The 26,731-nt window shown below is 48.6% G+C and overlaps 1 protein-coding gene, 1 long non-coding RNA gene and 1 pseudogene across 13 annotated transcripts in view, besides 2 other annotated features; 1 reads left to right on the top strand and 2 right to left on the bottom strand.

The window, feature by feature from the left end:
- The window catches only part of CCNJL (cyclin J like), a 90,488-nt gene that overhangs the window by 58,775 nt on the left and 4,982 nt on the right, over positions 1 to 26,731 (top strand). For 3 of the 11 annotated variants that reach the window (XM_011534646.4, NM_024565.8, XM_006714917.5), the window contains 4 exons: positions 58 to 271; positions 4,384 to 4,527; positions 21,025 to 21,327; positions 25,088 to 25,247. In XM_011534646.4, the coding sequence (XP_011532948.1) occupies positions 202 to 271; positions 4,384 to 4,527; positions 21,025 to 21,327; positions 25,088 to 25,247 (677 nt within the window). In that variant the 5' untranslated portion in view covers positions 58 to 201. Of the gene's footprint in view, positions 1 to 57; positions 272 to 4,383; positions 4,528 to 11,251; positions 11,334 to 19,538; positions 19,716 to 21,024; positions 21,328 to 25,087; positions 25,248 to 26,460; positions 26,668 to 26,731 lie in introns of those variants that run through there. The other 8 variants (NM_001308173.3, XM_047417702.1, NR_131769.2 and 5 more) reach the window with 7 other exon arrangements.
- Positions 1,514 to 2,041: an enhancer, noted in NCBI's record as "H3K27ac-H3K4me1 hESC enhancer chr5:159705762-159706289 (GRCh37/hg19 assembly coordinates)". NCBI's record gives its function as "activates a minimal SCP1, AML or CMV promoter by ChIP-STARR-seq in primed H9 embryonic stem cells {active_cell/tissue: H9 hESC(primed)}" and the evidence as "EXISTENCE:reporter gene assay evidence [ECO:0000049][PMID:30033119]".
- LOC105377691 (uncharacterized) lies at positions 9,731 to 12,530 on the bottom strand. Of its 2 annotated transcripts, none has more exons than XR_007059027.1 (3): positions 12,442 to 12,530; positions 11,728 to 11,871; positions 9,731 to 10,042 (listed from the first exon to the last, which is right to left on the bottom strand). It is a non-coding gene; the product is annotated as an uncharacterized LOC105377691 (long non-coding RNA). The 2 variants fall into 2 exon arrangements; XR_007059026.1 differs by having other exon boundaries at positions 11,728 to 11,876; positions 12,442 to 12,516.
- Positions 19,386 to 19,525: an enhancer, noted in NCBI's record as "active region_23558". NCBI's record gives its function as "activates an Ori minimal core promoter by ATAC-STARR-seq in GM12878 lymphoblastoid cells {active_cell/tissue: GM12878}" and the evidence as "EXISTENCE:reporter gene assay evidence [ECO:0000049][PMID:35858748]".
- LOC727947 (ubiquinol-cytochrome c reductase binding protein pseudogene) lies at positions 22,096 to 22,557 on the bottom strand (annotated as a pseudogene).

Genomic DNA, 26,731 nt, shown 5'->3' with positions numbered 1-26,731 from the left:
CCGAGACTCTCAGGAGGCAGCCCTGACCGTCACCCCTCCGCCCCGCCTGTCCTCCAGGAACTGAAGCTGCCCACCTTCCGAGCCCACTCCCCACTCCTGAAGAGCCGCCGGTTCTTCGTGGACATCCTGACCCTGCTGAGCAGCCACTGCCAGCTCTGCCCTGCAGCCCGGCACCTGGCCGTCTACCTGCTGGACCACTTCATGGATCGCTACAACGTCACCACCTCCAAGCAGCTCTACACCGTGGCCGTCTCCTGCCTCCTGCTTGCAAGTAAGCGAAAACCTACGTCTTCCTCCGCGCTTGTGCGGTCTCCTCCCGCTCAGTGCGCCTGGCTGCTTCCAAATCACTTTACATTTTGACGATCTTTGCACGTCTTATATGTTCATCCTTCACTGAGCGTTTTTTAGCATCAACATTTTTAGATGCAACATTTTTTAGCATCTTTAATGTACCAGACCAAGTGATAAGGATGTTAGCAGCTTGTCTCAATCCACACAGTGGCCCTAGGAGGCAGATACTCTTAGTATACCCCACTTTACAGAGGCACAGAGAGGTGACGAAGCCAGTTTTGGGCTGCCCGGGTAGTATATGGCAGACAAGATTTGAGCCCAGAACTGCCTGGTGCCAGAACCTGTGCCCTCAACCTCCTGTCTCCTGCTTCCTGGTATGGGGGATATGAACGTGCTGGGAGGGGAACCCTAGCAACCACTGTTCATAAGGTGTTTTGAAATGTGACTGCTTGATTTGGACCTAAGCAGGACCCATTGTGTGGTCACCAGGCCTGGGCACAGCCCTCTTGGGGTTTGCACCTTCCAAACAGGCCTCACTAAAAACACAGCGTAGCTTTGACCATCTGTCTGTCTGCCTTGGTAGAGATTACTGTGTTAATTCGCTGCTACTCGGATGATCTCCTTAAAACACAGTTCTGCCATGCCACCCTTCCACTTAACATCATCCCATGGTTTACTGGCAGTCTTAGGTTAAAGACCAACCCTTGAGTTCCTGCCTCTTTGCCCTGTGCCTTTCTCCTCATCACTTCCTGGGTTCCAGCCACACTGGCCAAGCCCCCTCTTGTCATAGAGCTTTGCACATGCTGTTCCCTCTACCTGGATTGCTTCTCCCTCCCTCCCGCTGCCCACCTGGTTCTGGGTAAACATCACCGAGGCTCTAGATCCCTGTGAAAACCTTCCCCCACTGCCCTCAGCAGGTGAGGTCTCCCAAGTATGCAGACCCTCAGCGTCATGTGCTTTGAATGAACAACCACCACCCCCCATGGATAGCAAGTTTCAGGGATGGAAAGGAGCTTGGCACATAGTAAGACCTCAAAAATAATCTGTGTAATCAATGAAACTAATGGAGCTAATGGTTCCTTGAGAGCCAGGCCTCTATACTTCTATAGTTGCCCTAATGCAGAGGAATGGAATGCCCCAGAGGCCTCAGGCTCAAAGTGGCCAGGTACAATTAGGACATTTCTTTGACATCTGGTATTTTATCCTTGACAGTCAGATTTTACATTCTCCTCTGAGATATGTTTGTGTCCTATTTCATTATTCATTTCCCCTCCCTGCCCCTCCATCCTTCATCCTGCTTGGTGCTGCAGGACTATGGCACCCACTTTCTCCTGTAGCTTTGTCTGCTTTTGGCAGGCTTCCATAAACCCCATGGGCACGATCACCCAGTTCCGGAAGCACAGATTTAGAGTTTTCAGAATTCTGTCTCGTTTTCCACGCTGGCACCTTTTACCTGCTGTTGTTCGTGATCCCATTGGCTGCTTTAGGCTCATAGCCCCACATTTGGTGATTTTTCTCTACCTTTGGCCAACTGGATTCCCTTGTTACACATGCGAGCCAGTCTTGCTGGGTGTCCAGCCTGTCTCAGCACCCCAAATCAACGTGCAGCCCCCTTTCGTCTGCGGGGCTTGTGAAACATCTCCGGCTGTGGAGGGCACACTGGGCATCGTATTTCAAGCAGCACAGGAGAAATTTGCGCCACGGCCTTTGGCCTGCTGCTGTCTGTGATCTGTGGGCTGCATCGCGGCCCGCTGGGGGCAGGGGACTTATATTTCCATGGGGCCATGGAAGCTCTCCCCGAGTGTCTGTCTGGGGAGCTGGGATGTGAGGCACACACTGGAGACTCCTTTGTGCTGCTGCCACCTTGGCGGAGAGAGGGGACGTTTCAGACAGAGAGGCAGACGCCCCCACCCACGTGTCTGAGGGCAGCACAGCCTCGGGCAGCAGGAACAGATTTTTCAGGACACCTGCCATATGCTGCAGAGACCAGAGGGAAGAAAAGTTTCCATGACAGCCTGAAATCCTATTCTTCCCTCCTCCCCTCTCCCCAGGCCATTGTGGGCCACAAGGGGGATCCCCTTGCCTCGGGAAGTTTGGAGATCTGCTAATTTGGTACCAAATTATTCTGAGATAAGAAGAGCTGGGGTTCTTGCCCCCCCACCTGTCAATCTCAGGTTTTTAAATCTGCTTCCAGATAGACAGGAAGGCTGGGCGCGGTGGCTCACACCTATAATCCCAACACCTTGGGAGGCAGAGGCAGGTGGATCACCTGAGGTCAGGAGTTTGAGATCAGCCCAGCCAACATGATGAAACCTTGTCTCTCCTAAAAATACAAAAATATTAGCCAGGCCAGTCGGATAACCTGAGGTCAGAAGTTTGAGACCAGCCTGACTAACATGGAGAAACCCCATCTCTACTAAAAATACAAAATTAGCTGGGCATGGTGGTGCATGCCTGTAATCCCAGCTACTCAGGAAGCTGAGGCAGCAGAATCGCTTGAACCCGGGAGGCAGAGGTTGCAGTGAGCTGAGATCATGCCATTGCATTCCAGCCTGGGCAACAAGAACGAAACCCCATCTCAGAAAAAAAAAGCAATTAGCCAGGCGTGATGGGCGCCTGTAATCCCAGCTATTCAGGAGGCTGAGGCAGGAGAATTGCTTGAACCCAGGACAGGGAGGTTGCAGTGAGCCAAGATGGCGCCATTGCACTCCAGGCTGGGCAACAAGAGCAAAACTCCATCTCAAAAAAAAAAAAAAAAAACAGATAGACAGGAAGCAGAGATGGGATTTTCTCACCTACCTACAGCCCCTTCTGCCCCGTCCAACAGGGCTCAGCCAGGGACCCATGTCTGCGGGCCACAGGAGGAGGCAGAAGAAGCGAGAGCATTTCGTCATTCCACAGTGGACATGTGGCAAAGACACCCTCTCTCCCTCAGAGTTCATTGTTTGCGTCTCCTACCTTAACACAGGATAGAACTCTACCATAAATATAGTATAGAGATCACTAAACAGTAAATGAAGTTGAGCCTCCCTCTTCTTTAATCTTTCATCTTATACAGCACCCCTCCTGCAATGTCTTTTTGTTCTTCCTGTTGTTTAATTAAAAGGATAATTTGACAACGTGGAAATCCCACAACTTCCAGGTGAGTTGGCTTTGGCAGTGCCCCTGAATCATCGGCATCACAGCGGCTGTGGCTTCCTTCCTTACTGTTCTTTCTACATGCTGGACCCCATGCCAGGCACTTTACACACATCGCACGGATCCTCACGACCAGCCTATGCGGTCGTGCTGTCACCCGCCCTTTTTATAGGTTCAGAGAGGCCACAAAACTTGCCCAACTTGTAGTGTGGGGTTGTGTTTGTGGGTTTTTTGTTGTTGTTGTTTGTTTGTTTGTTTTTGTAAAGAAAAATACAACCAGGCACGGTGGCTCACACCTGTAATCCCAGCACTTTGGGAGGCTGAGGCAGGCAGATCCCTTGAGGCCAGCAGTTCAAGACCAGCCTGGCCAACATGGAGAAACCCTGTCTCTACTAAAAAGAAAAACCCACAAAAATTAGCTGGGTGTTGGTGGCTCATGCCTGTAGTCTCAGCTACATGGGAGGCTGAGGCTGGAGAATTGCTTGAGCCTGGGAAGCAGAGGTTACAGTGAGCTGAGATCATGCCACTGCACTCCAGCCTGGGTGACAGAACAAGACTCTGTCTCAAAAAAGAAAAAAAAAGAGAGATAAAATTCATGCCACAACATAAAATTCAGGATTTTAACCATTTTCAAGTGTACGGTTGAGTGGTGTTTAGCACCTTCACGCTCTCTCTACTTCCAGAACATTTTTATCACCTTAAAAGGAAACTTCGTACCCATTAAGCAGTCACTTGCCGTTTCTTCCTATCCCCCAGCTCTGGCAGCCACTAATCTGCTTTCTGTCTGTATGGATTCGTCTATTCTGGCTATTTTATATAAAGGGGATTATACAATATGTGACCATTTGTGTCTAGCATTGTTCTCTTCATACAGAATTTTGAAGGATCATCCATGTTGCAACATGTATCAGTACTTCATTTCTTTTTTTTTTCTTTTTCTTTTTTTTTTTTGAGACGGAGTTTCGCTCTTATCGCCCAGGCTGAAGTGCAGTGGCATGATCTCAGCTCATTGCAACCTCCACCTCCCAGGTTCAAGCAATTCTCCTGCTTCAGCGCCCCACCCCCCACCCACACCGCCCCAAGTAGCTGAGACTACAGGTATGTCCCACTATGCCTGGCTAATTTTGTATCCTTAGTAGAGGCAAGGTTTCACCATGTTGGCCAGGTTAGTCTCGAACTCCTGACCTCGGGTGATTCACCCGCCTCGGTCCCACAAAGTGCTGGGGTTACAGGCGTGAGCCACAGTGCCCAGCCTTCATTTCTTTTTATGACTGAATAATATTCCATTGTATATCCCACAGTGTGTTTATCCAGTCATCTGTTGATGGATGTTTAGGTTGTTTTCACCTTTTGGCTGTTGTGAACAGCGCTGCAGTGAATATTTGGGTACCAGTTATATTTGAACACTGGTTTCTAATTCTTTTGGGTATATGCCTATGGGTTGGATTATGGGTCATGTGGTAATTTTATGTTGGACTTTTTGAGACACCTTGGAGGTTTGCTTTTGCTTGGTGGTTGCTGCCTGGAGATGACTGCAGTATTGAGTCTTTGGCCCCAGGGCATGGACCAGCCTGAGGAGGGAGGGAGGGTTGGGGAGAAAGCCAGGAGGGCAAGAGGTGACCTTTTGCTAGGGTAGCTAGGCCTTAACTGTAAGACCTTATTATTTTGCACAAGAAGTGTGAGATACGTTTTTACTTTTAAAAACCTGAAAGCATTTAGCCAGGTGTGGTGGCACGTGCTTGTAGTCCCCGCTACTTGGGAGGCTGAGGTGGGAGGAACTCTTGAGCCCAGGAGGTGGAGGTTGAAGTGAGCTGAGATCTTGACACTGCACTCCAGCCTGGGCCACAGAGCCAGACCCTATCTCAAAACAAACAAACACAAAAAACCTGAAAGGTACAGAAGTACCTAGTGTGAAAAATTAGTTTCTCCCCTTTGCTCACAGTCCCACTCCCACAGTTTTGTGTGAATCCTTCCAGACCTCAGCCGGGCACGGTGACTCAAGCCTGTTACCCCAGCACTTTAGGAGGCCAAGGCGGGCAGATCACTTGAGATCAGAAGTTCAAGACCAGCCTGGCCAACATGGTGAAACCCCCTCTCTACTAAAAATTCCAAAAATTAGCCAGGCATGGTGGCACGCACCTGTAATCCCACCTACTCAGGAGGCTGAGGTGGAAGAATTGCTTGAACCCGGGAGGCGGAGGTTGCAGTGAGCCAAGATTGCACCACTGCACCCCAGCCTAGGCCGCAGGGCAAGACTCTGTCTCAAAAAAAAAAAAAAAAACACACAAATCCTTCCAAACCTAGATGTGTTTTCATAGCTGGGAAAATTTATTTTCATTTATGGGGGGAAAATGAATCATAGATTACACCCCTACACACTACCCAGTGAACAAAACTGCCAGATTCCCTCTCTTCCTTCCTTTTCCATTCTTCCTTTTTCTTCCCCATCTAATGGCAATTCCATCGTACTTTTTCTGTTTTCTTTCACTGTCACTTCCGGACCCTGAGCCTGAGCCTGTCCCTGAGAAAACAAGGTTTCTCACTGGTGAGTGGTTTTCCTCTGTCCTCTGAGCCCCTCCTGCCCCTGGCCCACTGCCTGTTGTCTGTGAAAAGCAGTGGAAGGTGAGGCTGATAGATCTGACTCTTACAGTAAAGTTCTGACTTCTGGTTTCTGTAGGTGGGGCCACATCCTGTGCTGACCTTCGTGCTGGCCCCTGTCCTCCTCCCTAGGAGAAGTGTCTGGCAGGAGGTGGTCGCATGGCCTTTCTTTCAGGGGGGTGGGAAAGCCCCCGTCTCTGGCTCTGGTCCTCCTGCAGAGCAGGGTCCCTTAGCTCTGTGAGTCAGTCATGCTGTGCTGAGCTTACCTGTGAAAAGGCCCATCTCCTTACTACAGATTGTTTTTTTTTTTGAGACGAGGTCTCACTCTGTCACCTAGGCTGGAGTGCAGTGGCATGATCTTGGCTCATTGCAACCTCTGCCTCCTGGGTTCAGGTGATTCTCGTGCTTCAGCCTCCTGAGTAGCTGGGATTACAGGCACACACCACCACATCCAGCTCATTTTTTTATTTTTAGTAGAAACGGGGTTTCACCATGTTGGCCAGGCTAGTCTCAAACACCTGACCTCAAATGATCTGCCTGCCTCGGCCTCCCAAAGTGCTGGGATTACAAACGTGAGCCACCACACCTGGCCCTTACTATAGATTTTTAAAATTACAATTATTATACTCACTTGTAAAGTGAGATCCAAAGAATAAAATAAAAATCCTTTTCCCAATCCCAGGTAACCCCTGGGAACAGTTTCTTCTGAATTTGATCTGGTGTATTTTTCTGGAATTGTTCCATGGATATACAAACACAGTTGATTCTCATTACGGGTTCTGTTCTTGCGAATTTGCCTACTTGCTAAAACTCTTTTGTAGGCCGGGTGCAGTGGCTCACGCCTGTAATCCCAGCACTTTGGGAGGCCGAGGTGGGTGGATCACCTGAGGTCAGAAGTTCGAGACCAGCCTGGCCAACATGGGGAAACCCCTTCTCTACTAAAAATACAAAAAAATTAGCCGGTTGTGGTGGTGGGCACCTGTAGTCCCAGCTACTCGGGAGGCTGAGGGAGGAGAATTGCTTGAACCTGGGAGGCAGAGGTTGCAGTGAGCCAAGATCGCGCCACTGTACCACAGCTTGGATGACAGAGTGAGACTCTGTCTCAAAAAAAAAAAAAAAAAAAAAAGTGGCGGCACTTTCGTGGTGCTTTGCAAACACGCACAGAGCTGTGTGTCCCATATGGATTGACCCATACCCATATTCCAAGCTGAGACCCAGTAAGAAGCACTCTGTCTTCTTCTTTCACCTCTCACACTGTAAACAAATGTGTTTTTAGTGGACTTAGTGCCACATTTTTCATATTTTTGTGCTTTTTGTTGGTGATTTTGGTGTCAACAAGTCTCCAAGAATAGAGCTGAAGTGCTGTCTAGAGCTCCCAAGGTCAAGAAGGCTGTGATGTGCCTTGTAGAAAAAAGCCTCTGTTAGAGAAGCTGTGTTCAGGCAGAAGTTATAATGCTGTTGGCCATGAGTTCAATATTAATGAATTAATGTATTAAACAAATACACAACACAAAGTTATAGGCTGATCAGTTGATGAAATGTTGTGATCAGAGCCTTGCAGGAACCTAACCTTGTACCTTCCCCTAGGAGCAGTGGTTCAGTATTCACTAATTCAGTGTTCACAATGGCTTTATAGAGCATAACTGACATGAATAACAAGAATTGACCAGATATATTTACACAGCTGGGTTACTGCTAAAGGTGCTTTCTTCATAGTATGTTACGGAACCTCTTTTTCCATCAGCGCTTGTGGATTTACTTCACTCTTTTTATTGACTGCAAAGTCCTTTGTTTTATAAACACTGTCATTTATGTAATGATTTCTCTATTTTTGGACATTCAGGTTGCCATCTCTTTTTTTCACTGCTGTACAGTGACTGGCTTTTTCCCTGTATCTTTGCAAACTTACATGAGTCTGTCTGTAAGATAAATTCCCAGAGGTGGAATTGTTTTGGTCAACAGGTAGGTAACACTGAAGATTTTGATAAGTAGTGCCAAATTGCCTTACAGAAGTTTTAACTCAACCAACAGCTGATGAGACCCGTTTTTCCGTAAATTTGACTTCATTTGTGGGAGCCTTTGGAACTGTTAGCATTGGTGGTACAGTGGTGAGCACAGCTGCCTTCCAGAAAAACATTTATTTGACTTACTCTCTACCTAAACAATAAACTATAAAAGAACAAGCAATGTCTCTTCTCCATCCCGGCCCCTCACCCGTGTCCACTTGGGGCTTCTCTTCTGTGCTCCCAGCCACGAGAGCCTTTGCCCTGCATTTCTGCCTTTCCCTATCCAGGAAGCACAGACAAGGAATCCTTTCCAGACTGATTGCTTTTAGTGCCTGTTAAGCCTCATGTCTTAGGGCAGATACCACTAAAAGCTATTGCCTGCCAGGTACCTGCAGTGGGGCTTCAGGAGATTCTAGGAGAGGCCTGTCTTCCTCCCAGTAAACCAGCATCACTCCCCTTTGCATCCTCCATCCCCCACTCACCCCTGCTTTGATTACTTGGCAACTGTTGCTTCTGAAAAGCAGCTTCTTTGACAACAAGGCAGGGGACGGGATGGGGTCTCCCCACTGGAGATTTCAGAAACTTGAAAGCAGTCTTAATCCTTTCTGGTCGACAAGGATGAATGAATATGCTGCTTCCTAGCCTGGAGAAGTTAAATACATCAGCTCTCCCCAAAGCTGGGAATGCTTGAGATGCCTCCACGGCTCTAATTGTAGGCAGCAGCTGCAAATGGGGCAATATTTCCAGGTGGTCTTTTTCAGGGGTGTATTTCTGACAAAACATGAGATTTATTGATAGAATTAAACCTAAATCTTCAAGGAAACGTGGCAGCGCCCTTGCAGGAGATAATTTAATAGCTCCCTACATCTCATGCAAGAGTGGTCAGGAGGAAACTCCATTTCCTTCCTGCCGTGGAGAGCATTTGAAATGCTTGAGCCTTTCAATGTTTGAACATTTCAGGAATCAGAACAGGTCTTACATTTGATGTGTGCAATTAAAGTGACTATTGCTTATCTTTCTTCCAAAACACTGCCATGACATCAATGGTGCTTCTCTAATCAGTGACGTTTGCGTGGTGGCCACGCGGCACAGGGCAACTGGAAAAGGTGGTCTGTCACATTAGTGAGGGCCATGCTGAGCAAATCTGGGCACGGGGCTCGAATGTCACAGCACAGTGAGCGGAGGACATGGTGATTTTCCATTTCCTGTTCCCATCTCTGCAGACTGGCAGGCTTAGAGCTGTTTCAGGGGAGGGATTTTGTGTAAACTGCCTGTCAGACAGCTGGCTGGGCCGGAAGCTCTTAAATTGTTCAATTTGCCTTAGCAAGTTTAACACCCAGACCTGTTTGTCCAGGGCCTAACTTTCCGGGCTCTGCATGGCTTTTTTTTATTTTAATTTTATTTTTGTTTTCCGGGAGTGGGGGTTGTATTTCAAGCTGCACGAATAATTAATTGAACATGCGGTGTTCAGGAGCCCCTGATCGCAGCAGCCCACCCCTCACCACCCAAGCACTTACCTGTCAGTATTGTCAGTTGTGATAGCTAGCACTGGCAGGGCAGCTTTGGTTGATTTTGAAATCCGTTTCAGACTCGAACGAGATATGTTGGCCTATTCTATCCCTTGGTGCTAAGATTAGAGATTATTTTTATGTGTGGAGCATTTACCTGGATTTTTGAGATTGTCTTCAAGGAGTGTGTGTTGCCTCCCTCCACCTCCTAAATCTTAATTTTAATTACAAGCATTGTGGTGTCTAGACAGGAAAAGTCTCTCTTTGTCACCGACATAGTGAGGTTTCTGGGACTTTTCTAGGAAAGTCTGATGCCTCCCGACTTGTAGGTACTTGTAAAACAGGTTCATGCCGAGATATTCTTGGACTGGAGCAGACCTACGTTCTGGAATGTTCTCTGGCAGTTATTCTGCTAGCTCTGGCTTCTAGATTCCCAGCAGCAGAGTCTTGCCTTCTGAGGAGTTTAAAGTGTTTTTATCAGCAGGAGAGTAATATTTGTTCCTGTAGAAAACCAGAAGATGGGAAAAAATAAAAATAACAAAATAAAAATCACTTGTAATCTCACTACATTTCTCTTTTCTATAATCGGAACCTGCGGGTGGAGGGTAAATCCTAGCCTCAGTGGTGATGGGATCGTTAATGTTTATTGAGTGTTTGTTTATTTTTATTTATCTTTTTGAGGCAGGATCTCACTCTGTCACTCAGGCTGGAGTACAGTAGCATGATCACGGCTCCCTGCACCTCAGCCTCCCAGTACCTGGGACCACAGGCGCGTCCATACCACCAGGCCCTGCTAATTTTTTTTTTTTTCGAGACACCATTTTGCTCTGTCACCCAGGCTGGTGTGCAGTGGCGCAATTTCGGCTCACCGCAACCTCCGCCTCCCAGGTTCAAATGATTCTCCTGCCACAGCCTCCTGAGTAGCTGAGATTACAGGTTCCCACCACCTCACCCAGCTAATTTTTGTATTTTTAGTAGAGACAGGGTTTCACCATATTGGTCAGGCTGGTCTTGAACTCCTGGCCTCAAGTGATCTGCCCGCCCCGGCCTCCCAAAGTGCTGGGATTACAGGCGTGAGCCACTGCGCCCAGACTTTTTTTTTTTTTGGTAGAGACAAGGTTTTGCCATGTTGCCCAGGCTGGTCTCTAACTTGTGTGCTCAAGCAGTCCACCAGCCTCGGCCTCCCAAAGTGCTGGGATTATAGGCATGAGTCACTGTGCCCAGCCTATATGTCACACAGTGTTCTGAATTTTTTACACAGATTTACTAATTTAATCCTCAAAACAATTCTATAAGGTAGGCTGTAGTTGTATTTTCCGCAAGTATCAGAGGAAGAATCCGAGGCCCAGTAAGTTAGGACACTTCCCTAAAAGCATACAGCTCGGATGTGCCTAGTAATGGGGACACAGGTTGTCACCTTGGGGTTGACTCAGTGGTTCTCAGCCACTGTACAACTATGGCCCTAGTTGTACAGCCAGACCACGTCCTTCCTTGGCTGTGCCAGGAAGATTCAGGTCAGAACGCGGAGAGATTGCTGGGAGACTCCTGGGCACACTTCCTTCTGAGCCAGCAGAGCAGCATTTGTGCTGACCCCGATGAAAACATCAGCCCTCAGGACCAGCTCTTGTATCTGGAAGCATCTCCCCTCTGAACCACAAGGGCGGTACCCAAGATGGCCTCTCCTTTTCCTTCTCCCTGTTCCCCGCATAGGTCGGAACAAAGGATCAGGGTCCCCAGTGCCCACACGTTCAGCGCAGCAGTGCCGTCAGACCTGGGCCAGAGGCAGCCCCTGGTGAGTTAGGAGTGAGCTTTCTTTAAAGCAGTGACACCGAAACCTTCTTTCGTGACAGGAGATAACTCCTATCCTCCGTACGAGGACAGAAGCACTTGTGGGATGCAGGCCCCAGATGCCAGCTATTCGGGTGACAAATGGCCCCCACCCCGCAGGCCCTGCTTTCAGTCAGTGACACTTATTTGGGTCACGTGTAAAGCGGAGCACAAAGGAACCAGGGGTTGCCTGAGGCCGCAGTGTGATGTCATCACAGCAGTTTCTCCTTCCTGACACAGGGAAGTCCTCCCAGCAAGAAGGGAAGCCCGTGGGTGACCCAGCTGGCCGAATGCCACCTCTGACCTAGAAGGCATTTTCACAATTTCCTCCTAAAGAAAACAACCACCCACAACCTCACCTCTGGTCTCTTTTTAAAACTGGGCTCAGGAATTGATTCAGCCTGTCAGAAATGGGCTTGCTTTCATTCTTTCATCCATCCGTCCTTCCATCCATTCGTTGATTATTTATCAAGGCCTCTGTGCCAGAGACTGGAGATGCAGCCCTGCTCTTGAGAGAGGAAGGAGAAGAAGAGAGCTTTTTCTTGATTTCCTGAGGGAGAAAGGAAGCTCAGCCAGGCAGGGTACCCAGATCCACCTTCACACCAGGTCTACCCAGCGGACTTTGGAAGCCCAGGAATGGCTGGTGTTGGAGGCCTGTTTCTCCAGGATGTTTCCTAACTACAGGATCAGAAATGGGCCAGAGATCTTGGATGCAGCTACAGCAGGTCCTTAAGGGGACTTAAGGGGAGGCTACCTGGCCTCCAACCCCTGTGGTCCTCTCAGCTTTCTCCCTTCCTTGAGCACCACTGAAGCACCCTCTTACAGATGAAGGGTTTTCTTGCTTTGTCCCTGGCTTTCTCTCTCCCCTACACCAAATCTCATCCAGAAACCAAACCACTGTCATTGTAGCTGTGACTGTCATTACAGGGCTGGCTCTGAATTGAGCACAAGTTTACAAAGGGTGCTGTTCTAAGCACACTAAGCCATCATGTCACCCTCACCACAATTCTATCTACTTGTCTTCTTCCCATTTCACAGATGAGGAAACACAGGTCCAAGAAGTTGTGACTTACCCCAGACCACATGGCTAGTAAGCGGCTGCCACTCCGTAGAATCCAGGACAGTCATCATCAGAGTGTGGGCACTGCCCGCTGCACTGCCTTACACAGTAAAAACAGCCTGCCAGAGCATGGTGCCCTCAGAGTAGTTTCACACCCTCTCCATCAATTGCTCAAAATCTGTCTCCCCTGGTTCCTCAGAAAGACGCTTGTCTGCTGGGCGTATGAGCAGTGCCTTTTTTTGCCAAGAGTAGGAAGCACCTTTCTTGCCTTCAATAACTGCAAGAAGTCAAAGAGAGTTTCTGTTTTTTAAAAAAAGTCAGGCTGGGGAGCACCTTTAGTACAAAAAGTTTCCTGTTAGAGAGCCACTCCTTTGACTTAAATGCTATCATTGGAAGAAAAAACTAAGTCCTGTTGATCATATAGCTCTTTAGTGGAAAGGCTCTGGAATTAAATTGCTAAGTAGCGTAAGCAAAGGAGAGATTGAAGTCAAGAGAATTTGTGGAAGGGCCAAGCATGGTGGTGCATGCCTGTAATCCCAGCACTTTGGGAAGCCGAAGCAGGAAGATCACTTGAGCCCAGGAGTTCAAGACCAGCCTGGGCAACATAGTGAGACACTATCTCTTCAACAAGTAAACAATTTTTAAAAATTTTTTCAAAATTAAGAGTATTTGTGGAGAACAGGGCGGTTAGATGGGGTGAAGCTGAAACTAGCCTGACACATCCATGGAAGTTCCTCCACCCAGATAGATACACTTATTATGGAGCTTATAGGATTGCAGGGGGCCTTGTGACTGTATATAAGGTTTCCTGCTTATGATGTAAAAAGCTCGGGACTTTGGAATCATTTATTCATTCATTTTTTAAAATACACAAAAGCTATTATTAATTTTATGCTAGAGGCTGTGCTAGGTGAACAGGATCTGTGGTGTTCTGCAAGACAGATTTGTTCCCTACCCTCATGGAGCAGACAGACTTTTAAATGCTGCTTTGTCCCTTATCAGCTGGGAGATCGGGGTAACTCAACCTTTCTGAGCTTCTGTTTCCATGTGGGAAACACCCCCAACCTCCCAGGGTCGTTGCCAGAATCAGCTGAGAGCATCTGTTAAGGGCACAGCAAGCACAGTTCACAGACCCCCTAGCCCACCCAACCCTGCAGTAAATAGATGTGTGGTCCAGGGTCTGCCAGCACATTTGATGCCTGCTGTGCGTTGGGCCTCGGGATGCAGCAGAGAACCAAATGCCAAACGAAGCTCCCCGCCCTCCCAGAGCTCACATCCTGGTGTGTGGATTCTCTGCCTCTTGCTACCCAGTGGATTCTCTGCCTCTTGCAACCCAACTGGGTTACCTGGGAAAAGTCTCACCCTGGGGGAGGGGGACATCTGGGAAAGGCCTTGGACGCAACACTCACTCCCCTTTCTTCCTCCCGGACTGTGAGCCTTGAAATCACCAGCAGGAGGCCAGAGTTCAAGGTCACAGTCCTGGGGAAAGGAAGCTGTAACGACTCCAGTCCACTCCATGCATTCCAGCACAGTGTTGACTGTGGAGTCGGGTAAGGGTAGGGGAGCCTTTTGTTGGGCCTTTTTCAGCCCCTTTTTCAGAACCTGTAAGAAAATATTTCTAGATAACAGGACTTGAGAAGATCCCGGGTCTGGAGTGCAAAGAATACCATGTTCAATAAATAATACAGCAGCTGCTACCATTTATAGAGCACCTCCCACATGCCCGTCATGTTACCTGGGACACTCCTTGCACCCTCCCTACTGCCCTATGAGGTGTGGGTTTCCAGGTGATTGCCCAAGATCACACAAATGATACCAGGAGTGAGGATGGGAAACTGGCACTTGAGCCCCTGCCCTGCCCCTGCTCCAGGACATTCCTGCCTGTTTCTGGTGGGGACCTCCCCCAGAATCCTGGCTGTCCCTGGTCACACCGGCTCCAAGGCCATAAATAAAGCTGGTAGAAGTTCTGCCTTTTCTGGGGCTACTTTTCTCCACTCCAGGAAGGAAGAATCTGAGAGAAAAAAGCATTAGCATCAGAAAGGTCTCTATTGAGCCTGGCCCTGCGTGGGCTTCCACCCCTGGGACACTGGCCTCCCTTGCCAGCAAAGGCTGCAAAGCTGGGAAAAAGCCCTTTCAGCCAGAGCTTTCTCTTTCCTCTTCTGTCCCTGCCACCTGACTGCGTAGCACTGCCCACATGCACCTGGGAAGATAGATGTCAGGCCCCACCTGGGAAAAGGCAAGGCCTGGGTACCACTGGGCGGTCCTTGATCCCTCTGACCCGCCAGCACCATCTTTCCTTTATCATCAGCACCTGCAGGGTAGGCTGGTGGCTGCTGGAGGGGCATGGGGATAGCTATGGGATCTCAACTTCTGATAAAAGTCTGGTTCTCATTCTCAGATAAAATGAGGAAGAGATTTTTTAATAGGAGAGCGGCCATTCTTGTGGAAGAATAGCTTTGCTTGTTTTTAAAGGCATTGCATTTCTTTTTTCTTTTTTTTTTTTTTTTTTCCCCTGGAGACGGAGTCTCGCTCTGTCGCCCAGGCTAGAGTGCAGTGCCCCGATCTTGGCTCATGGCAACCTCTGCCTCTGGGGTTCAAGCAATTCTGCCTCAGCCTCCTGAGTAGCTGGGATTTCAGGCATGCACCACCACACCCAGCTGATTTTTGTATTTTAGTAGAGACAGGGTTTCACCATGTTGGCCAGGCTGGGGCATTGCATTTCCTTTTTTTTTTGAGATGGAGTCTCACTCTGTTGCCCAGGATGGAGTGCAGTGGCGTGGTCTTGGCTCACTGCAACCTTCGCTGCCCAGGTTCAAGCGATTCTGCCTTAGCCTCCTGAGTAGCTGGGACTACAGGCGCACACTACCACACCTGGGTAATTTTTAAATTTTTTTAGTAGAGACAGGGTTTCACTATATTGGACAGGCTGGTCTTGAACTTCTGACCTCGTGATCCGCCTGCTTCGGTCTCCCAAAGTGCTGGGATTACAGGCGTGAGCCACCACACCTGGCCGGCATTGCATTTCTTTAGGGAAGAAAAGTAGCCAGCTGTGGCTTTAAAACCTGTTTCTCTTTAGCCAGGAAACTTTGGCCTAATCTCTGAGCCTGGGTTAAGCACCTGAAAGGGCAGCAGGTAGCCCTGAATGGGTCCATCAGTAGGCATCTTCCCACGCATGAAGGACTTTTGGGGGCATTCGTGGGGCACAGTGCAGAACACGGTCTGTCTAGTTGGGGGTGGGCCGCGCTCAAGCCTGGGCAACAGGAATGAGAGAATGCTGAATTTCTACAGAACCTTGTTCTGTGCTGGTTACCTTTTTGTTTTAAGTTTTCGGGCTTTTTTAAAGGCAGTGTAAATGCTGATGACTGTTGGCACTGGGTAATAACATTCAAGGGAGTTCATTATAGTAACATTTCTCTCTCTCTTTTCGTATATTTAAAATTTTCTAAAATGAAACGGCTTTTTAAGCAATTAAAAATAACTGCTTCTCTTGGCGCTAATTCAGAAGAGTCAGGAATCCTGTTTGGTCTGCCTTGAGGCTTGATTGCCAGGACAGTAGGTAGAAGATAAGCCAGTCTTCAGAGTGTTCACCTTCATAGAGAAAGAAAGTAGAATGTGCTTGCCAAGGACTCGGGAGAGGGGGGACCTAGGAATTATTGTTTAATGGGGACAGAGTTTCAGCAGGATGAAAAGAGTTCTGGAGAGGGATGGTGGTGATGGCTGCCCGTCATTGTGAGTGTCCATATAATGTCACTGAACTGTACAGTGAAAAATGGTAAACTTTATATTATGTGTTGTCATAAGTTTTTTCTAATTAAAAAAAAAAAAGCCAGTCTGTAAGCTGGATCCACAGCATCTTGCCACCACGGCCTCATCTGTGGTTAAGCATGTAGGCCACATGGATGGATGCATGGTCATCCTCACCTGCCACGAATTGCCCAGGAGCTCTGTGTGCCAGCCTCAGGAAATGGTGTTAGGGATCAGCCAGCCACATGCAGAAAGGAGGGCACATAAGAGGCATCACTTACAGGCACCACCGTCACCACCAACACTGGGGGTACACGTGCGTCTGCCTAGCCTCCGAGAGCCAGAGAAGTGCTTCACTAGGTTTAGAATGCTTTTTAATCTTATAAGTATGTTGATAGTGACTAGGCACAGTGGCTAATGCCTGTAATCCCAACACTTGGGGAGGCCGGGGCGGGCAGATCACTTGAGCCCAGGATTTCGACCAGCCTGGGCTCTACTAAAATTACAAAAATTAGCCAGGTGTGGTGGCGTGTGCCTATATACCTAGGTACTCAGGAGGCTGAGGTGGGAGGGCCACCTGAACCCAGGAAGTTGAAGATATGGTGAGCCGAGATTGAGCTACTTGCACTCCAGCTTGTGCGACAGGAGTGAGACCCTATCTCAAAAAAAAAAAAAAAAAAGAGGTTGATAGGGCTCCTGCTGTTCCAATTTAGGACAATGTGAACATCAAAAAGAAAAATGTAGATGGAATGATATGATTTTTAAAACTTCCTTTTCAACCCCCAGTATAATAATTTATTCAGAAAAGGATCATCCATGGATGCAAAGCCATTGAGCTAAAGGTTGTTGAGAAACAGGATATTCACAAAGTGTGCCCTCCCAGATTATTTATTAATTTCCCAGGGAAGCTGGTACCTTGAACTGGAGCAGTCTCGTGTCACCACCTTAATCAAGTGATCTAACATAAGCCAGGACAAAGTGACGTTTCCTAGGACTCCTGCTATGGTCCAGTGGGTGAGAAGGACAGAACAGCTTCTGTCATTTGCTTGCCTGTACTGTTTGACCTGCATCTAATTGTGAGGAAACAATCAGGCAGATCCAGAATGTGGAGCATTTTACAAGACAACTGGCCTAGATTCTCCCAGAGTCAGTGTCATGAAAAGCAAACGAAACAAGGGGACTTCAGCGGTAATAGACTCCATGTGTGAACCTAGTTTGGATTCTGGATCCAAAAACACAAAACAAAGGTTATAAAAGGCATTTTTAGGACCCCTGGAGAAAGTCAGATGTGGACTGAATATTAGAAAATGTGATTGCATTAATGTTCATGTCTTAGAAATGCTAATAACATTACAATTTGTAGGAAAATGACCTCAGGAACGGATGCTGAAGTGTTCGGGGTGGCATGTCACGTCTGCAACTTGACTAGAAATGGTCTAACAAAACCAGTATTTACAGACAGAATACACCTAGACAGAGCACACATGGATCAGGGTCAGCAAGGGCAGAATCTGGTGAAGGGTCCTATGTGTTCATTGTTGTCTTTCATCTTTTCTCTGATTTGAAAATTTTCGAAATCAAAAGTGCATCAGAGAAGTCAGAGATTCCATGGCTATTGTCTGGCTTGGAAGGACTCAGAATTCTGTTCCCAGCCTCTCCCAGGGGACTCGCCTGAAGTCTTCTAGGCATCTGTTGCCTGTGCAGTTTGTCGATAAGGAGGAAGCAGCTGAGTAACGGTGCTTGGTGGTGGCAGCGCTGGGGACAAGGGGCCAGCCCCACTCACAGTCCCAGGAGGAAGGGAGGAAATGTCTGCCAGGCACGTGCAGCATCAGGAAACTCATAAAATCTTTTCTGGCTGCTTTTTAACTGCTGGCCAGGCCAAGCCCAGGTTAACTCTGAAGTCTGCTTCTGGGTGTAGAAGCTGAGTTCTCCCATCAGCTTTTTCTCTGAGCCTCTGAGGATTGTAAAGAACCTACCTAGAAGGTTCCTGCCACGAGCAAGTGCATGACCAGCTCGAAGCACAGCCCATTCTGTGTGCCGGGGGCTTGTGAAGCACTTTCCATTCTGCAGCACCATTTTATCTTCATGTGGGACAAGGTCCTACAACATAAGCAAATAAGCAGCCTGTCGAGTTTAGTGCTCGTAGGTCCAGGGCAAACTCCTGAGGATTCAGACCCAGCACTGCCTGGCTGTGGCCTGCCGTGTGCGTTCCCAGGAAGCAGAGGGAGCAGGTGAAATCAGATTCCGCAGTAATCCCTGGTGCCTTCCATTGGAGGATAATCCTCTTGGGCCTGGTAGCAGAGCTCTGAAAGGTTTGAAAAGCGAGGAGGGGAGGAGGAAACTAATCTGATTGAGCACATCTGCCAGTTCTAAGAGATTGCTGGCTGCCAGCAGTGCTGTGCAAGGGTCTTAGTGCCACCCCAGTACAGTGCACCTTCACCTCGCCACCTCCTGCTCTGGGGAGGGAAAGAGCTCGTTTCTGCTGAGTGCATGCAACCAAGGCTGGCTCAGCACAAGATTCAGGGGAGCCGGGGCAACTTTGGAAAAAATAAATAAATAAAATTCTTCCTTTTAAAAACTGCACAAAGAATACATGATCATTGGAGAAAAAACTGGGGAATACAAGATCATCAGAGAAAAATTCAAATGGCCTAAAATATCTGTTTCCTGAGAGGACTATTCATTCATTTAACAAATATTTATTGGGTACCTACTATGTGCCAGGCATGTGCTGGGAACTGGTGGCACAGCAGCGAATGGGTTGGACTCAGTTCCTATTCTTACAAGGCTTAGAGTCAGATGCCAGCCATTCATATTAATACTTGATGTTAAGCAAGTAATCTAAGTGTAGGAAGTCCGTTTAATATCTGGAGGTCTCTAAACTGAGCTCTGGAGGACACCGATAAGGGGGGTGAGGGGAAGAGCATTCCCAGCCCGGGGAGGGGTTGGAGTCCCACGTGGCTGGATCCTGTGCTTGAAGAGGGAGTGTTGGGGGGAGTATGGGGGGAGCTGCCAAAGCCAATAGAGCCAGTCGGCCAGAGCCTCAACCCTGGGATTTCCAGCCATGCAGGAGGCTCTTCCTCTCTGGGCAGCTTTGACCTCGCGTTGGCCTGCCTGAGTTGTTCTTGTGTGCAAGACAAGAAAGTGTGTACTTCGGACACAGCACCATTGCAGGCTGAGTGACTGGGCTCCGGAAAGGGATGGAATGTGTGCTTGCTGTAAACTGCATGGTGCGGGGCTGGTAGTGCCTCTGCCCTTCACTGTCTTGTACATTTCCAATCACTAGACTCCTCTGCATCAAAGACCAGAGCTCTGTGTCAGGTCGTCGTTACCCACCGAGTGGGCTGCTGCAAGGCTTGCCGAGAAGGGAGCAACCCTGGCTTGCTGAGACGTGGTTGATTCATTCTGCAGTGACGTCTTTTGAGCCGTCCTCAGGAATGTGTTGTATCTACTGTGGAGCAGCCTGTGGTGGTTACTTCCTTATCTCCCCTAAGCAGCATGAGAGATGGGAACTGGGTCAGAGGCACTTGCAGCTGGGAGCAGGTGCGTGCATGTGTTGTTTGCCCTTCCCTTCGTGAGCACTGATGTGTGCTTTGAGGTCAGCTGGGCCGCCCCAATGCCTCTTTTGGCATTTACTTAGTGGCAGCTCCACACCCCATGAGGCTGGCCTTGGGGTCATGGGTGAACAGACCGAGGCCAGGCCCTTGAAGGCCTCACCACCTGATGTGGGAGTCGTACAGTACAGGGGGCTGGTGTGGAGGGCGTCTTCTGAGAGGCAGGGACTCCAGGTGAAGGACAGGTCAGGGTTGGCTGAGTGAGGAGGGGATGGGGAAGGGTGCTCCAGGCCCAGGGGGCTGTGTCAATGAAGGCTTATAGGCAAGAACTGCCAAGGACAGGGTCCACGGCCACCTGTGGGGTGGTTTTCCCAGAGTGAGGAACATTGAGGCTGGAGAGGCCCACAGTCTGCAGAGCCTCACGCAGTGGAAGCTGTCATGCCCCCCCACCAGCCCCTGAGTCTTGACCCTCAGGGCACAAGGACCTCCCATTGTTCCCTGAGAGCATCCACAACTGATGACTGCCGGGGTTGCTATGTAAATGCCTCTGCTCTTTAACCCGTGGGTAGGATAACCTGAGGCCTGTCTTAGGCTGTTTCTCAGAATTCCTCAGTAGGATTAAGCTCGGGTTGTCCACAGTGGTGACTCGCTTGTGTCCTTTTGGGCTTTCTTCCCTTTCCTGTTCTCGTCCCCCACCTACCGATCTTTCCTGGGCTTACCTTCCAAGACCTGGAAACCAGAGGGAACCCACACTAAGACCCCGTTTACACAGTTTGAACTCAATAGCCAGGATAGCGGGAAGCCATTGAAGAGCTTTTCTACACGTGGAGGGACAGGGCCAGGTTTGCGTGGCCATGCTGACTCTAGCCAGGAGGTTGGATTGGTTAGGGCCAGATGGAGAGTAGGGAGGGCACCTTATTCCCCAGCCCCTGGCTGCTGCTGCTGACCGCTATCGGCTGCTTTGTGTTCCAGAGGCTTGTCTGAGCATTTGGTTTGCATTTTCCCATTGACTCTAACAAAAGCCTTATGAAGTATAGGTTCCATCTTACAGATGAGGAAACTGAGTCACAGAGAGGTTGAGACACCTAGCCATGATCCCCCAGTGGGAAGTGATGGCTTGTGGATTCAAGCCTAGGTTTGACAGATCTGGAATGTGTGCTCCTATTCCTCCGCAGTCTGGCCTGTCTGCTTTCTGTCTTCTTTGCCAGCAATGTCCAGGCACTGTAAGGTGGGCCGTTAGCTTCCTGGGTTCAGGTAAATGTCTTCCAGTAACCCCTGCTTCCCCTGCTCCCCGACAGGTAAGTTCGAGGATCGGGAAGACCACGTCCCCAAGTTGGAGCAAATAAACAGCACGAGGATCCTGAGCAGCCAGAACTTCACCCTCACCAAGAAGGAGCTGCTGAGCACAGAGCTGCTGCTCCTGGAGGCCTTCAGCTGGAACCTCTGCCTGCCCACGCCTGCCCACTTCCTGGACTACTACCTCTTGGCCTCCGTCAGCCAGAAGGACCACCACTGCCACACCTGGCCCACCACCTGCCCCCGCAAGACCAAAGAGTGCCTCAAGGAGTATGCCCATTACTTCCTAGAGGTCACCCTGCAAGGTGACAGCTGGGACCCGATGGCAGGACCTCCCACCCCTTCCCCACCACCCAGGGGTCGGGGTCAGGCGGCTCTAAAAGGCATGTCCATCCAGATCAGGCCTTCTCACTGGGGCCTGTGCACCCAGATCACTCTTAACTTTGCAGGCAGTAAGCAAAGAAAGGGCAAGGATTCGCCCAGTAACATGTAAAAGAGAAATAGCAACTTATATGCAGGCAGCCAGAAACCTAGAAACTTACAGATCAACTGGTAATTTTTCTTACAGTAACCTGAAACATTGCAAATGAATTAAATAGCACAGATTTGCAGATCGGTTATTCTCAAATAGCGGCCATCATACAGATAGTATGGGGAGAGGGAATTATGTTTACATCTGTTTTAGCAATAAAAGTTACCCTGTTACTTGAAACTTACTTGAAACTTGAAACTCAGTCTTCCCAGTGTTTTAAAATCTAGATGTTAACTGGGTCAAAAATACTGCTGATAGGGGCGGGCGCGGTAGCTCACACCTGTAATGGGAGGCCAAGGCGGACAGATCACGAGGTCAGGAGATCGGGACCATCCTGGCCAACATGGGGAAACCCTGTCTCTACTAAAATACAAAATATTAACCGGGTGTGGTGGTGCATGCCTGTAGTCCCAGCTATTTGGGAGGCTGAGGCAGGGGAATTGCTTGAACTCAGGTGGCGGAGATTGCAGTGAGCGGAGATTGCGCCACTGCACTCCAGCCTGGCAACAGAGCGAGACTCTGTCTTTTTTTTGTTTGTTTTTTACAATAGATATTTATTTAAAGTAAAACAGCTGCAGACCAAATAATTCTTAAGATTGTTTCAGGTTTAACCATCTTCGTAACAGCTGCATCCACAGACTTCAACTACATGATTACCTCTTTGCCCATTCTGCTCTTTCTTTTCTTTCCCGAATAACCTCTTTCAGATACGGTTCAAGGTAGAAATTTTCCTCTTCATATTTGGTCCACTGCTCTTTAGGCAAGATCTGATGCTTCATGGACAGGTCCAGTGCCCTCTTCATGTGAAACATCCTGTCATTATAAAGGTTCTCAGGAAGCCTTCTTATGGCTTCTTTCACATCTTCATTCTCATATATTGTATCATCTTTCATTAACCCCAGTTTATTGAATCCTGTGGCGTTGTAATACCATTTTCGAATACCATCCAGCCACTTGCCTGATGCTGCAACAGCCTTCTTGCCAGCCATTTTGACCAGCGAGACTCGGTCTTAAAAAAAAAAAAAATACTGTTGATACAACCATCCCATAACCTACCACAAACTAAAATGGGCATGAGTATCCAGATCAATGATTGGACTGGGCGCGGTGGCTTATGCTTATAATTCCAGCACTTTGGGAGGCTGAGGTGGGCAGATCACCTGAGGTCAGGAGTTCAAGACCAGCCTGGCCAACATAGTGAAACCCCATCTCTACTAAAATACAAAAATTAGCCAGGTGTGGTGGTGGGCGCCTATAGTCTCAGCTACTTGGGAGGCTGAGGCAGGAGAATTGCTTGAACCCAGGAGGCAGAGGTTGCAGTGAGCCGAGATCGTGCCATTGAACTCCAGCTTGGGCAACAAGAACAAGACTCCATCTAAAAAAAAAAAAAAAATCAGTGATTGTGATCCCAAGCATTAACTGAGCATTTACTGCATGCCAAGTGTCTTGCTTCAGTGCTTTGCATACATTATCTCATTTGAACCTCACAGCAACCCCACACCAAAATCACCTCCATTAATCATATTTTACAAAAGAGGAAAATGATGCTGTAACTTACCCAAGGTTGCGCTTATTTTTTTTTTTCCTTTTTGTGGAGAACGGGGTCTCGCTATATTGCCCAGGTAGGTCTCGAACTCCTGGGCTCAAGCTATCCTCCCACCTCTACCTCCCTGAGAGCTGGGATTACAGGCGTGAGCCACCACACCCAGCTGTAACTTACCCAAGGTTATTGCTAGGATTTTATTTTATTTTTTATTTTTATTTTTTGAGACGGAGGCTTGCTCTGTCACCCAGGCTGGAGTGTAGTGGCACGATCTTGGCTCACTGCAAGCTCCGCCTCCCAGGTTCAAGCGATTCTCCTGCCTCAGCCTCCCGAGTAGCTGGGATTACAGGCGCCCGCCACCACGCCTGGCTAATTTTTTGTATTTTTAGTAGAGTTGGGGTTTCACCGTGTCAGCCAGGATGGTCTCGATCTCCTGACCTCGTGATCTGCCCCTCTCGGCCTCCCAAAGTGCTGGGATTACAGGCGTGAACCACTGCACCCGGCCAATTTTTTAAATTTTTTTAGAGATGGGGTCTCGCCATGTTGCTCAGGCTCGTCTCAAACTCCTGGGATTACAAGTGAGAGCTACCATGCCCTGCTCATTGCTAGGATTTGAACCTTGGGAGTCTGACTGAATGATCGTTTGTATCACCCTGTTAGCACCCTGACTGATACTTTATTTTTTAAATTTGTTGTTGTTGTTTAGCTGCCCTATGAACTGATCTTTAAAAGGCAAAAGTGGAAGTAATTGAAAATCATGAAAAAAAATTTTTTTTTTTTTGAGATGAAGTCTTGCCCTGTCGCCCAGGCTGGAGTGCAATGGCTCGATCTCAGCTCACTGCAACCTCCACCTCCCGGGTTCAAGCGATTCTCCTGCCTCAGCCTCCCAAGTAGCTGGGATTACAGGCGCCCACCACCACGCGTGGCTAATTTTTTGTATCTTTAGTAGAGATGGGGGTTTCACCATGTTGGCCAGGCTGGTCTCGAACTCCTGACCTCGTGATCCACCTGCCTTGGCCTCCCAAAGTGCTGGGATTACAGATGTGAGCCACTGCGCCCAGCAAAAATCATGAACAATTTAAGACAACAGAGTAATAAACTGAAAATCCAGTGTCATTCAGGAAAACTGCAGAAATTTCAACTGTTTGCACATATTTAGCACCAGCTTTTCCTCGTGGCCAGATATCTTAGTTGGACATTAAGATTCCTCAGTCAACCTAAGTGCCAATTTTAGTTATAAATATCAAAGTCTTACAACCACTCATTCAGTAGATTTTCACTGAGTGCCTACTATGGGCCAGGCATTGTTACAATTAATAAGTAGCTTTAAGTCATACCCCAAAACGGAAGCCTTTGAAATAGTGTGTCATTCTCTTATAATAACCAAAGAAAGGACAAATGTTTTGCAGTTCTATTTGTAGAACATCAGCAAGCTCCTTGCTGCTCCCTGGGAGCCGTGGACAGTATTTTGAAAACACTGTTCTAGGCTGCTATCAGAAATCTCAGACTGGTCTGAGCGTGGTGGCTCACACCTGTAATCCCAGCACTTTGGGAGGCTGAGGCAGGAGGATTGCTTGAGCTCAGGAGTTCGATACCAGCCTGAATTACATGCTGAAACCCTATCTCTCAAAAAAATACGAAAATTAGCCAGATGTGTTTGTACATGCCTGTAGTCCCAGCTACTCAAAAGGCTGAGGTAGTAGGATCTCTTGGGCCTGGGAAGTTGAGGCTGCAGTGAGCTGTGATCTCACCACTGCACTCCAGCCTGGGCAACAGAGCGAGACCCTGTCTCAACAAAAAATAAATCCCAGACCAAGAGCCAAGGTTAAGATTCAAAAATGGAACTTCACAGTTTCTAATTTTCCATCCTATTTGTAGGGCAGCGATGAAAAGCCTTGAAAGCGATTCATTTGTCCATCCATTCTCAGGGTGGGCCTGGGATTCCAAGGGGAGGATTTGGATGCTGACTCCCTCCGTGGCTTTCTTTCAGATCACATATTCTACAAATTCCAGCCTTCTGTGGTCGCTGCGGCCTGTGTTGGGGCCTCCAGGATTTGCCTGCAGCTTTCTCCCTACTGGACCAGAGACCTGCAGAGGATCTCAAGCTATTCCCTGGAGCACCTCAGCACGTGTATTGAAATCCTGCTGGTGTAAGTTTCTCCCCTGAATCCTGTGTTTCTGAAATAGTGAGGTTCCTCTTGCCTTGAGGCCTGCCTCAGGCCACGGGCAGTTTCCAGAGTCTGGAACTTGTGGTGGTTCTTCCAGCTACAGGGTCTCAGGGAAAGTGGGCCATGGTGACTCCTGGTAGAAGTGGGGTTTCGAGAACCAGTTCTTCCTATTTTGAATAGCTTCAGGTTTGCTTTTTATTTTATTTTATTTTTTTTTTGAGACAGAGTCTCGCTCTGTCACCCAGGCTGGAGTGCAATGGCACGATCTCGGCTCACTGCAACCTCCGCCTCCCGGGTTCAAGCGATTCTCCTGCCTCAGCCTCCTAAGTAGCTGAGATTACAGGTGCGCGCCACCACGCTTGGCTAATTTTTGTATTTTTAGTAGAGACGGGGTTTCACCATGTTGGTCAGGCTGGTCTTGAACTCCTGACCTCATGATCCACCCACCTCAGCTTCCCAAAGTGCTGGGATTACAGGTGTGAGCCACTGCGCCCGACCGGGTTTACATCTTTAAAGTCAGGCAGCAAGGGAGAAGCGGGCTGTTTGCACCTTTAAATGTCTAGGCTATTTGATCTAAGTCCCAGTGTAATCTTATAGATAATCGCATTGAAGGACTTCCATTATAAGCTACTTTTCTCAGACATGGTCACAAAGCTGACCTCTTAGCCAGTAAGCTCCCCTAAGCGCCACAGCCTCTGCAAGGGTCCCTGGGAATCTTGGGGAGGAAATGTTCAGTGTGTCAGAGAAGATACTTAAAGGCATCATGAGCCCAACACCCTGAAACTGACACTGGAGGTAAATGTGCCCCATAGTTACTGCAGGGAGCAAGGCAAACAGGACAGAGCCATTCCCAGTAGGCACACACTGTCCAGTTCCCCTTCCACCTGCCAGGCACTGCGTATCCTGGGTGCTGGCCTGACTGACTGGTGGGCTGTGTGGGCAAAGCGGAAGCCCTTAGACCCCTGAAGAGAGCCCTCCCCGATGTGGGAAGCTTTGCTGGCAGCTGTCTTTATCTCATTCCTCTGAAAAGTCAGTCCTACTCCGTAGGCCTTATTTTAAAATTTGTGTTTTTGAGAAGGTCCCCAAAGCCTGGTCTGAGTGTCGGTGCATGCCTTACATAAGCCTCTAATTGTTTTGTTTTCCCAAAAAGCTATATGGGAAGCTTTTTTTGAGATGGCAAAAATCTCTGTTCCAGCCCCCTTTTCAGATGAAAAATCCTAGGCCCCAGCGGTCAATTTGGTTGATATCAGCTAGCTAAGGAGTGACCCCGCTGGGGATGGAGCTGGCCCAGAATTGCCTGGAAAGCAGAGATTGGGCTCATTCAGGCCCCAGGAACACTCCAGTGCCAGGGGATGGGAAGGCATTGGTGAGCACAAGCAGGCGCCATCCTCCTGGAAGCCAGGTAACTAGAAGTTACCCTCTGGAGCAGGTTACTCTCTGGGGTATTGACTGTGGAGATAGGGCAG

This window comes from Homo sapiens, chromosome 5 (genome assembly GCF_000001405.40).
Source record: "Homo sapiens chromosome 5, GRCh38.p14 Primary Assembly".
Classification (NCBI taxonomy): domain Eukaryota; kingdom Metazoa; phylum Chordata; class Mammalia; order Primates; family Hominidae; genus Homo; species Homo sapiens.
Note: the sequence above shows the minus strand (reverse complement) of the source record. Positions and strands in the feature narration are given on the sequence as shown.